A 12867-nucleotide genomic window follows, 5' to 3' on the forward strand; every position below is an offset into this window, starting at 1 on the left:
GCAGCATTGGAACAGAGACTGGAAGTGTCAGTTGGAGTTAACAGAGCTCAGGGCTGGGTGTGGGGAGCATTTTTGACAGAAATACTGTCTCCTCTTTTTTTTTTTTTTTTAATTGATCATTCTTGGGTGTTTCTCGCAGAGGGGGATTTGGCGGGGTCATAGGACAATAGTGGAGGGAAGGTCAGCAGATAAACAAGTGAACAAAGGTCTCTGGTTTTCCTAGGCGGAGGACCCTGCGGCCTTCCGCAGTGTTTGTGTCCCTGGGTACTTGAGATTAGGGAGTGGTGATGACTCTTAACGAGCATGCTGCCTTCAAGTATCTGTTTAACAAAGCACATCTTGCACCGCCCTTAATCCATTTAACCCTGAGTGGACACAGCACATGTTTCAGAGAGCACAGGGTTGGGGGTAAGGTCACAGATCTACAGGATCCCAAGGCAAAAGAATTTTTCTTAGTACAGAACAAACTGAAAAGTCTCCCATGTCTACTTCTTTCTACACAGACACGGCAACCATCCGATTTCTCAATCTTTTCCCCACCTTTCCCCCCTTTCTATTCCACAAAACCGCCATTGTCATCATGGCCCGTTCTCAATGAGCTGTTGGGTACACCTCCCAGACAGGGTGGTGGCCGGGCAGAGGGGCCCCTCACTTCCCAGTAGGGGCGGCCGGGCAGAGGCGCCCCGCACCTCCCTCCCGGACGGGGCGGCTGGCCGGGCAGAGGGGCCTCTCACTTCCCAGTAGGGGCGGCCGGGCAGAGGCGCCCCTCACCTCCCGGACGGGGCGGCTGGCTGGGCGGGGGGCTGACACCCCCACCTCCCTCCCGGACGGGGCGGCTGGCCGGGCGGGGGGCTGACCCCCAACCTCCCTCCCGGACCGGGCGGCTGGCCGGGCGGGGGGCTGACCCCCCCACCTCCCTCCCGGACGGGGCGGCTGCCGGGCGGAGACGCTCCTCACTTCCCAGACGGGGTGGCTGCCAGGCGGAGGGGCTCCTCACTTCTCAGACGGGGCAGTTGCCAGGCGGAGGGTCTCCTCACTTCTCAGACGGGGCGGCCGGGCAGAGATGCTCCTCATCTCCCAGACGGGGTCCCGGCCGGGCAGAGGCGCTCCTCACATCCCAGACGGGGCGGCGGGGCAGAGACGCTCCCCACATCTCAGACGATGGGCGGCCGGGCAGAGACGCTCCTCACTTCCTAGACAGGATGGCGGCCGGGAAGAGGCGCTCCTCACTTCCTAGATGGGATGGGGGCCGGGAAGAGGCGCTCCTCACTTCCTAGATGAGATGGCGGCCGGGCAGAGACGCTCCTCACTTTCCAGACTGGGCAGCCAGGCAGAGGGGCTCCTCACCTCCCAGACGATGGGCGGCCCGGCAGAGACACTCCTCACTTCCCAGACGGGGTGGCGGCTTGGCAGAGGCTGCAATCTTGGCACTTTGGGAGGCCAAGGCAGGCGGCTGGGAGGTGGAGGTTGTAGCGAGCCGAGATCACGCCACTGCACTCCAGCCTGGGCACCATTGAGCACCGAGTGAACTAGACTCCGTCTGCAATCCCGGCACCTCGGGAGGCCGAGGCTGGTGGATCACTCGGCGGTTAGGAGCTGGAGACCAGCCCGGCCAACACAGCGAAACCCGGTCTCCATCAAAAAAATACGAAAACCAGTCAGGCGTGGCGGCGGGCGCCTGCAATCGCAGGCATTCAGCAGGCTGAGGCAGGAGAATCAGGCAGGGAGGTTGCAGTGAGCCCAGATGGCAGCAGTACAGTCCAGCTTCGGCTCGGCATCAGAGGGAGACCGTGGAAAGAGAGGGAGAGGGAGACCGTGGGGAGAGGGAGAGGGAGAGGGAGAGGGAGAGCACTGTCTCCTCTTTTGATGGGAGAGAGCGTGAGGAATTTCAGAAGCTGACTGGGGCACGGTGGCTGCAACATAGGAGGCAGATGGCAGAGGAGAGTGACAGAGATGAGGCCTGAGAGGTAGGTGTGGCTGGCTGTGCCTTACGAGTCACATTAACATTTTAGATGTTATACTAAGAAATTGGCAGCCTCTGAGACTGTGTTGATCTGGCTTTTGGTTTTGTCTCTAATGGTGATGATGTATGCTTATGCAAGAGTTGTTTTTCACTGCTTTATATTGTAAAGCTTTAGAGAAAAAAGAAATACATCCTTTAGAGCTGGTATGACACTCTGCCCCATTGTTGCCAGGTTACAAGTATTGGATTTAGGTTTCTGCCTGTCACAAAGTTACCATAGCCATGGGCCATAGCCCCTGAATGGGAAAAGGGATAGTGAAGGTTACTGACTTGCCTCTTGTGACTGTGCTAACATGTTGGCCAAGCTGGAGACCATGCTCAGTCATTTAGAGCTCAGTGTTTTCAATGCTGAAGTGGAATGTTCACTTTGTGAGTCAGGGGATGTAAAGATCAAAATGTCGTGGTCCTGCCCTTAGGAGGAGTTCATGATATTCTTCTCACCTCCTATTCTTTTCCAAACAGACCCAAATGAAAGGAAAGATACATGTTTGAGAAAAAGCAACATTTTAAAAAAAGAGTAGACGTTGTTGGCCATGTAGCCCAACCATGCTTTGATAGAATGGTCATTTTCCACTTTAAATTTATTATTAACTTTGAACATTTTATTTATGCTCAGAAGCTCAATATGTAGGCTTTAGTACACTCTTTAAAATTATACTTTGTCTTGAGTTTATGCTAAGTATAATTTCTGTTTTAAGTAGGGAAATTTTAGGAGCATGGGAGAAGGGAAAGAATGAGATATCCAGGGGCTTAGAATTTATAAGGGCTCAAAGAGAGGCTGTTCATTGATAGATACTCCAGAATAGACACGGGCCCTTGAAAAGCTTGTACCTTTGGGGAAAAGTAGACCAGGAAAATCTCAAGCCAGAGAAGGACTATGAAGCTTCTTTTTCCAGTTACACATGGAAATAAGAGGTCTTGCATGAGAAACCTAAATCAACCCTATGTCTTAAGCAGGTTTTGAGTCTAAATTTATACTAATTGCATTGTGGAGCAGGTCTAGCCAAGAAATTAACATGACAATCAGTCTCTAATCTGTCTGTCTATCTACTTACTTACCTACCAGTCAGGCCAAAGAGATTCCCACAAGTAGGTTAAAAAAAGTAAAGTCTGATAACAAATAATTAGTAAGAATGAATGAATAAATAAATAGCACAAAGGAACACTCTACCACAAGGAGGAGTACTCATCACATCAAATGAGAGAATACCCTAAGAAAGTGAGATAATGCAGCAATCTGAAAGATATTTTACCATAACGTGTTTAAAATGATTAGTAATTAAAAAAAGAAGAAATTGAAATCATAAGGAAAGAATACAGTACTTTGAGAACAAAAGGACGGATTTGAAAAATAATCATAAGGGACTTCAACAAACAACAAAAAAAGTCATTAAATGTAGATTGCTTTGGCCAAATTAAGCAGCAAATTTGACATAGTCTGAAGAGACTTAGTTAGAATATATGACTGAGAAAATTATCACAAAATCCAACATCTATAAAGAGACATATCCCCTACTGTAGAAGTGAGGTTAAAAATATATATATATATATATGTATATACATATATATGTATATATTTTCTGAAATATTTTCAGAAATATATATATGTGTATATATTTCTGCCATATATATATATATGGCAGAAAATAGGAGGGAGTTTTAAGAGAGCCAGAGGCTATACTGCAATGATTGAACACATTTCTGATAAGAGCTTTAGGAGGAGAGAATAGAGAGATTGGAGGAAAGGCAAAACTTAGAATTTTCCAAAATTGAGGAAAAATATGAATCTTGTTTCAAGAAGAACAGAGAGCCTTGAACAGACTAAATAAAAATAAATTCTTATCTAAATGCATTGTACTTAAAATAGTAAAACACCAGAGCCAAAAAGAAGAATCTTAAAGGCAACTAGAGAAAAAAGATTACCTCTAATAAAACAAGTATGTCAATAATAAATTTCTCAACATGGAAAGTCAGAAGGCAGTGCAAATAAGTTCTTCAAGGAACTGTCAACCTAAGAGAAAATAGCTGTCAACCTAGCTGAATTATCATTCTAGAATGAGGCAAAATACATTTTGAGACAAAGACTGAAAGTTTATCTATCTCAAACTTCAAACAAAAATATATTAAAGAAAAGCTTAAATGTGAAGAGAAAATATTTAAATCTTTACAAGAGAATATAAGGGAACATTTTTGTGATCTTGGGGCATAGAAGACTTTGTTAAACAGGCCCTAAAACCACAAGCCTAAACAGGAAAAGAGAGACAAATTTTGACTAGATTAAAACAGTATGCTTTTGTTCAACAAAAGACATCATACACAAAATTTAAAGACAATCTACTGAAAGATAATGACAATGCATGTAACTATTAGAAGATTAATATCCAGAATACAAAAAAATAGCCCCAAATCACTAACAACACAATAAAAAATGGACAGTGGATATGCAAAAGCAGTTCGCAGAAGGCAGGACTCGTATGTCCAATGAACATATGAAGAGTAGCTCAGGCCAGGTGCTCTGGCTCATGCCTGTAATCTCAGCACTTTGGGAGGCTGAGGCAGGAGGATTGCTTGAGCCCAGGAGTTCCAGACCAGCCTGAGCAGCATAGAAGACCCGATCTCTAGAAAAAAATTTTTTAAATTAGTTGGGTGTGGTGGTGTGTGCCTGTGGTCCCACCAACTTGGGAGGCTGAAACAGGAGAATCAGTTGAACCCAGGAGATTGAGGCTGCAGTGAACCATGTTCACACCACTGCACTCCAGCCTGGGTGACAGAGCAAGACCCTTTCTTAAAAAAAAAAAAAGAAAAAAGAAAAGAAAATAGTGAAAATATCACTATGCTGGTAGGAATATAAACAGTAATTCAATGTGGAGGATAAATCAATAACTATCTATTGAGAATCAAAGGAAGCACACTACTACCAGTAATTTTTACTCTACATAGATATCTTAAGGAACTCCACACATGCACAAGAAGAATCATACAAGGGTATATATCACAGCACTATCTATTATATGAAAAGTTGGAAACAATATTGTTTTCCACAGTAGTCTAACAGATGAAAAATTCATTTTCATTCATTCAGTATAATGAACTAGATGTATAATCTGTTAACATGGATAAACCTCCAAACCTACTGCTGAGTGGAAAAAAACAAGTTATGACATGATACATCCATGATTCTATTTCAGTAAGAATTAAAAACCCATAAAGCAATGTTATATGAATACTAACATATGTAGTGAAAGTATAAAAGTGTGTGTATAGACTTTAGAACAGTGGTTCTGGAGAGGAAGAGATGAAAAGGGATAGAGGTTGGGCTTTAAATTATTTTCTTAATACAGAAAATTATATCACTTTAAATCTGTGTGGTCAGTAATGTGTGTCTGTTATTGATATGGTTTGGCTGTGTCCCCACCCAAATCTCATCCTGAATTGTAACTCCCACAATTCCGACATGTCATGGGAGGAACCCAGTGGGAGGTGATTGAATTATGGGGGCAGGTCTTTCCTGCCCTGTTCTCATGATAGTGAATGAGTCTCATGAGATCTGATGGTTTTAAAAAATGGGAGTTTGCCTGCACAGCCTCTCTCTTTTTGCCTGCTGCCATCCACCTAAGATGTGATTTATTCCTCCTTGCCTTACACCATGATTGTGAGGCTTCCCCAGCCACGTGGAACTGTAAATCCATTAAACCTCTTTCTTTTTTAAATTGCCCTGTCTTGGGTATGTCTTTATCAGCACCATGAGAACAAACTAATACCGTAAATAGGTACCAGTAAAGTGGGGCATTGCTGAAAAGATACCTGAAAATGTGGAAGTGACTTAGGAACTGGGTAACAGGTAGAGGTTGGAACAGTTTGGAGGGCTCAGAAGAAGACAGGAAAATGTGGGAAAGTTTGGAACTTCCTAGAGACTTGTTGAATGGCTTTGACCAAAAACCTCATAGTGAAATGTATAATAAGGTCCAGGCTGAGGTAGTTTCAGATGGAGATGAGGAACTTGTTGGGAACTGGAGCAAAGGTGACTCTTGTTATGTTTCAGCAAAGGGATTGGTGGCATTTTGCCCCTGCCCTAGAGATTTGCGGAACCGAACTTGAGAGAGATGATTTAGGGTATCTGGTGGAAGAAATGTCTAAGCAACAAAGCATTCAAGAGGAAATTTCTAAGCAACAAAGCATTCAAGAGGTGACTTGGGTGCTGTTAAAGGCATTCAGTTTTATAAAGGAAGCAGAGCATAAAAGTTAGGAAATGTTTCAGTCTGACAATACGATAGAAAAGAAAAACCCATTTTCTGAGGAGAAATTCAAGCAGGCTGAAGAAATGTGCACAAGTAACAAGCCGAATGTTAATCCCCAAGACAATGGGGGAAATGTCTCTAGGGCATGTCAGAGGTCTTCACAGCAGCCCCTCCCATCACAGGCCCAGAGGCCTATGTAAAAAAAAAAAATGGTTTTGTGGGCTGGGCCCAGAGTCCTTTTGCTGTGTACAGTCTAGCGACCGAGTGCCCTGTGTCTCAGCCGCTCCAGCCTTGACTAAAAGGAGCCAAGGAACAGCTCGGGCTGTGGCTTCAGAGTGTGCAAGCCCCAAGCCTTGGCAGCTTCCATGTGGTGTTGAGCCTGTGGGTACACAGAAGTCAAGAAATGAGGTTTGTGAACCTCTGCCTAGATTTCTGAATATGTGTGGAAACACCTGGATGCCAAGACAGAAGTTTGCTACGGGGGCGGGGCCCTCACAGAGAACCTCTGCTAAGGCAGTGCAGAAGGGAAATGTGGGATCAGAGCCCCCACACAGAGTGCCTACTGGGGCACCACCTAGTGGAGTGGTCTCACTGTCACCTAGCCTGGAGTGCAGTGGCACAGTCACAGCTCACTGTAGCCTCAGCTTCCTAGGTTCAAGTGATCCTCCCACCTCAGCCTCCTGAGTAGCTGGGACTACAGACACATGCCACCACACCGAGCAAATGCCACTGTCCTCCAGACCCCAGAATGGTAGATCCACTGACAGCTTGCACTATTTGCCTGGAAAAGCTGCAAACATTCAATGCCAGCCTATGAAAGCAGCTGGGAGGGAGGCTGTACCCTGCAAAGCCACAGGTGCAGAGCTGCCCAAGACCGTGGGAACCTACCCCTTGCATCAGCATGACCTAGATATGAGACCTAGAGTCAAACGAGATCATTTTGGAGCTTTAAAATTTGACTGCCACACTTAATTTCAGACTTGCATGGGCCCTGTAACCCCTTTGTTTTGGCCAATTTATCCCATTTGGAACAGCTGAATTTATCCAATACCTGTACCCCCATTGTATCTAAGAAGTAACTAGCTTGCTTTTGATTTTACAGGCTCATAGGCAAAGGGACTTGCTTTGTCTCAGATTACACTTTTGACTGTGGACTTTTGGGTTAATATTGAAATGGGTTAATATTTTGGGGGACTGTTGGGAAGGCATGATTGGTTTTGAAATGTGAGGACATGAGATTTGGAGGGGCCAGATGCAAAATGGTATGGTTTGGCTGTGTCCCCACCCAAATCTCATCTTGAATTGTAACTCCCACAATTCCCATGTGTCATGGGAGGAACCTGGTGGGAGGTGATTGAATTATGGGGGTGGATCTTTCCTGTGCTGTTCTCATGATAGTGAATGAGTCTCATGAGATCTGATTGTTTTAAGAAACGGGAGTTTGCCCACACAACCTCTTTCTTTCTGCCTGCCGCCATTCATGTAAGATATGACTTACTCCTTGCCTTCCGCCATGATTGTGAGGCTTCCCCACCCACATGGAACTGTAAGTCCAATGAAACCTCTTTCTTTTTTAAATTGCCCAGTCTCAGGTATGTCTTTACCAGCAACATGCAAACGGCCTGATACAGTTATATTTTATTCAAGTTCATATGAAATATTTTATATTTTAAAATAAAATGTTTAAAATGAATGTGCAGAGTAAAAATAAAATGGAGGAAAGGGTGGTGAGCCAAGGACGCCTGCTGATGAAAGAATCTTCCATTCCAGGAGCTTATCAGGACCTGGAGTCTGTGTTCTAACCTCCCTGCCACAAGCAAAGGACCTTTTACATTTGAAATGTTAGTTCAAGGGATTCTGTTGGCTTTTCTGCCAAGCTAGAAACGTGGCTTTGGGAGTTGGTAAACAATTAAACTTTTGGGGGTAATTTCAGGTTTTCAAGAATCCTTTTTCTGACTACTAAAGGCAGTTGTTAGAAATAATGCTTTACTGTTGTGTAACAGTAGTCCTCAGGTACTGGATCATCAGATAAGAGAGACTAAGGGTTCTGCAATCTTAGTAGATGATGAATAACAGATAAAGTGTTCCTCAGGTCCAGTGTCTAGGCCTTCAGTGCAGGTTCTCTTGGGCTGGGGGTGTATTTCGGGGGGTGGGGGTCCTCTAGGAAATAGTAACCATCAGATAGAAAGGAGACAGCTATCTAGCTCATAGGACTGGCTCATAGGCAGAAAGCACCTACTGGCCAGTGAAACCTGAAGTGTGGCACCTCTCTTTCTTCTTACAGCCTTCCTGGATCTTTCCCCTGTGAGATGCTGCTGCCCTAGGTGTAGATTTTCGCCACAGTGTGCCTGAATACATTGTTGGAACCTGAGGAAGTTTACAAAATTATTTCAGTAATTTGCAGCCTTTTAGAAGAAGTGACTTGTGCTAAATGCCAATTAAGTACTTCAAAACCAGTAACCCTGGACAGTTGAATTCTCTTTCCAGTTAAAACTGGTGAAGCTCCAGACAGTATTTGTTTTATTTAAATGAACTTTTAATTTTAGAATAGTTTTACAGTTACAGAGAAGTTGCAGAGATAATACAAAAAGTTCCTTCACACCCCTGCACCCAGTTTCCCCTATTGTTAACATCTTACATTACTATCTAGACAGTATTTTTAAGACATCAATTTCTACCTTGTTGGGGATGTGGACATGTTTTATTCACAAATTTGATACCTCAAAGATTCTATGGACATGAAGGTATATAGCACAATTAAATGATTTTTCATATATAAAGTAACCTGAAAATAAAAACGAGTGCCTTAGCAAAATAATGGACATCTTTTAAAATTACTGCCGTGGTGCTTCATACATCTCAGGGCTCCACAAATATTTATTGAAAGAAAGAGCAAGTGAATGCAGATGCATTGTCTCTCTGTGTCCTATAGAGAACCTCAAGTTCTTAAAGCTTTCAGAAAAGGTCAAATTACCTCGTATATAACTTGTTCTGCCTTACCTAGGTTTGAATTCTTACTACTGATTGGCTTAAGACATAATTTATCCTTTCTTTGTTTTTGAAATCAAAATGATTTTGAGCAGGGTCTGTCACCCAGCCTGGAGTGCAGTGGCACAATCATGGCTCACTGTAGCCTCAGCCTCCTGGACACAAGTGATCCTCCCACCTCAGCCTCCTGAGTAGCTGGGACTACAGATGCATGCCACCATGTTGAGCTAATTTTTGTATTTTTTGTACAGATGGGGTTTCACCGTGTTACCCATGGTGAACTCCTTGAACTTCTGGGATCAAGCAATCCACCTACCTCGGCCTCCCAAAGTGCTGGAATTACAGGCATGAGCCACTGTGCCTGGCCAATTTATCCTTAATGATACAGGATTTTTCTCAGCCCCTTCACCAGACTCATAAAAGAGGCACCTCGTCTACTTGGTCCACTGTGCTCAACCCCTTGCTGGAGGGAGCACATGAGCAAGTGAGCATAGAATCTGGCAAGCTGCTCTGGGTGCCGAGACAGGAGCAAGCGCTGTGTGGGGCCCACAGCCAGACTAGGCATGTCACCTTGAGGGGAATGCAGTGGCACCTGGGTGAGGGTGCTTGTGATCCTGAAGCCCTAGAAAGGGGTATTACAGCGCTCCTTTAGTTCTGCTGTCTGCAGATGGTGGTATGTTAGTAGCTCAGTTGGCCCCTTGCCTCGTCATGTGGAGCAGTTGCCCTCCACCAGCAAAGGCAAAGGGCTGGTGTAACAGCCTTTCTGGGTACCCACACTTGGTGGGTCCCAAGCTCTTGTCCAGCATCCAAGAAGAATGAAGTCATATGGATGATTGAAAGATGGTGAAGGCAAAGAATTTTACTGAGTGATGAAAATGGCTCTCAGTGGAGAGGGAAGCTGGAGGGGGGATGGGAAGGGCAGGTGGTCTTCCCTGAAGTCAGGCCGTCTCCTCCTCTACCGACTGAGTCTGGTGTCTTTATAGGCACAGGATAGGGAGTGTGTGCTGACTGGTTTGGAATTACGCAAAAAAGGTTAAAGCGAAGACACCACTCAAAGGAGAGCATAACAGTGTAGAAAACCAATTAGGAAAGGGTGGGTATATGTAAAATAGGGGAAGGGTGGGGATCAATCAGAGGAAAGTGTGCCAAACAGGAGGACAAGTTCTCAGTCCGGTCCTAGGAATTAACTTGTAGCTTGGCTTTCAGGCTTTAAACTGTCTTTGGCATGGAGGTGGGGTTTCACTGGGGGCTTGCCCCTATCTGTCTAGGCATTTGGCTGCCTCCTGTTGCTATAATTAATATCACAAATCCTTGGTGTTACCTCCATATGGCCACTTACTTTAAACTACCAGTAGGTAACAATAAATGCCTATTATTTGCCCTGCCCACTGTATCCTGGTGAACACTAAAGCATACACTTTTGGGGTTTTTTTAAATACTTTTTTCTGTCTTTAAGACTATAGATTTTGCTTCAGTATACAATTGACCAATGCTATATCCTATACTACTTTGTCAAAGAAGGTTTCATCTTGGGGTAATACCAACATAGGCATTATTATATGGAAAAATCATCTTTCGTAGTGCCCAAATATACTTTTTAAGTCTATAATCCAAGTAAACAGAAGAAACTGGAATGTTTTCATCAAGAAAAATAAAAAGGATTTATTTGGAAAGTAGACTATTCAGCAATTAATCTTTTTATGTATTTCAGGATTCAGCTGTGGAAATGGCTATGTCAAAACAACTTTCTCTTAATGCTCAAGAAAGCATGAAAAACACTGAAGATGAGCGGAAAGTCAATGAGCTGCAAAATCAACCTTTAGAATTAGATACTATGTTAAGAAATGAACAATTAGAAGAGATAGAGGTATGGAAACATAAAAACACTGACAACATGATTGCATCATTTATCCAGTGCAATACAATATATTTTAATTGCCAAAAACTTGCTTGTACAGAGTGAAAAGTCTTATTTAACCTTTGCCTGATGATCAATTTGGTAACTGTATAATTATGTACTAAGTAAGTTGTATAAATCTTTCCATTTAGAAAGTAGAAGAGTTAAAGGGACATTAGTCTTCTTTCTATTTCACAAAGTTCCTAAAGACTTAGTGAGAAAATTTGGAGATTTTGACTTGCCATCATTCCTTTTCTTACAAGTATATATTCTTCTGATTCTGACAAATGTATTTTTCCTAACAATCAGTTCTATGAGGTTCTTCCCCCTTTGTTTTTACATCTGTGTTTACATAGTTATGTTTATGTATTTATGTGCTTCCAGCTTGTAAAGTAATCTAAAAATCCAATACATGGCCATATTTTAAAAAGTGAAACAGCAGCCAGACATGGTGGCTCATGTCTGTTATCCCAGCACTTTGGGAGGCCGAGGCGGGAGGACTGCCTGAGTCCAGGAGTTGGAGACCAGCCTGGGCAGCATTGCGAGACCCCATCTCTACCAAAAAATACAAAAATTATTTAGGCAAGATGATGTGTGCCTGTAGTTTCAGCTACTCAGGAGACTGAGACAGGAGGATTGCTTGAACCCAGAAGTTCAAGGTTGCAGTGAGGTGAGATTGTGGCACTGCATTCCAGCCTAGATGATGGAGCGAGATCCTGTCTCTAAAAAAAAAAAAAAAAAGCAAACTATAAACAACCCATGCAATTTTAGCTAAGTTTCCACAACAATAAACACGCATCTAAAATAGGAAAGATGGGTGATGTATGTAAATAATAAAATTAAGATGAATTTCCCTTTAGATATTGCAGAACTCTTTAAGATAATAGAGTGATCTGACTGACATTAAATGCTGGACCAATGGTGAATTTTAGACTGGATTTTAACATGATTCTTGGGAAGAAAAACCTTTTAAATATTAGGGATGTGGTAGCTCATGGCTGTCATCCCAGTCCTTTGGGAGGCTGAGGTAGGAAGACTGTTTGAGGCCAGGAGTTCAAGACCAGCCTGGGCAATATAGCAAGACTCTCGGCTCTACAAAAATAAAAATAAAAAAAATTATCTGGGTGTGGTGACATGCACCTGTAGTCCTAGCTACTTGGGAGGCTGAGATGGGAGACCTGAGCCCAGGAATCTTAGGTTACAGTGAGCTATGATTGCACCCTGCACTCCAGCCTGGGTGACAAAATAATAATAATAATAATAATAATAATAATTTTTAAAGGTTACAACTTTAGTTACCCTGTGTGCAAATGAGTTACCCTCTTCCTGAGATAGAGTGTGTTATCTCAAAGAGGAAAGAAGATGAATGAATTAATGCATAAATAAGTGAGTGTTTATTGACTGATCTGTGTGACTTATTTTTAGAAATTATATACCCAGTTGGAAGCAAAGAAAGCAGCCATTAAGCCACTGGAACAAACAGAATGTCTTAACAAAACAGAAACTGGGGCCTTGGTTCTCCACAATATAGGATATTCGGCACAGCATTTGGACAATTTGCTTCAGGCACTTATTACTTTGAAGAAAAACAAAGAAAGCCAATATTGTGTCCTCAGAGATTTTCAGGAATACCTTGCTGCAGTTGAATCTTCAATGAAAGCCTTGTTGACAGACAAGGAAAGTCTTAAAGTGTAAGTGTAAGAATTTAGGACTTGCATTCT

The 12867-nt window shown here is 43.3% G+C and overlaps 1 protein-coding gene across 29 annotated transcripts in view, besides 1 other annotated feature; it reads left to right on the forward strand.

Moving 5' to 3' along the window:
- The window catches only part of SYNE2 (spectrin repeat containing nuclear envelope protein 2), a 464854-nt gene that overhangs the window by 275444 nt on the left and 176543 nt on the right, over window positions 1–12867 (forward strand). For all 29 annotated transcript variants that reach the window (XM_047431152.1, XM_011536576.3, XM_047431149.1 and 26 more), the window contains 2 exons: window positions 10961–11116; window positions 12572–12837. In XM_047431152.1, coding sequence (XP_047287108.1) covers window positions 10961–11116; window positions 12572–12837 — 422 coding nt within the window. The remainder of the gene's footprint in view (window positions 1–10960; window positions 11117–12571; window positions 12838–12867) is intronic.
- Window positions 17–711: an enhancer, noted in NCBI's record as "NANOG-H3K27ac hESC enhancer chr14:64503774-64504468 (GRCh37/hg19 assembly coordinates)". NCBI's record gives its function as "activates a minimal SCP1, AML or CMV promoter by ChIP-STARR-seq in naive H9 embryonic stem cells {active_cell/tissue: H9 hESC(naive)}" and the evidence as "EXISTENCE:reporter gene assay evidence [ECO:0000049][PMID:30033119]".

This window comes from Homo sapiens, chromosome 14 (assembly GCF_000001405.40).
Source record: "Homo sapiens chromosome 14, GRCh38.p14 Primary Assembly".
In the NCBI taxonomy this organism is placed as follows: domain Eukaryota; kingdom Metazoa; phylum Chordata; class Mammalia; order Primates; family Hominidae; genus Homo; species Homo sapiens.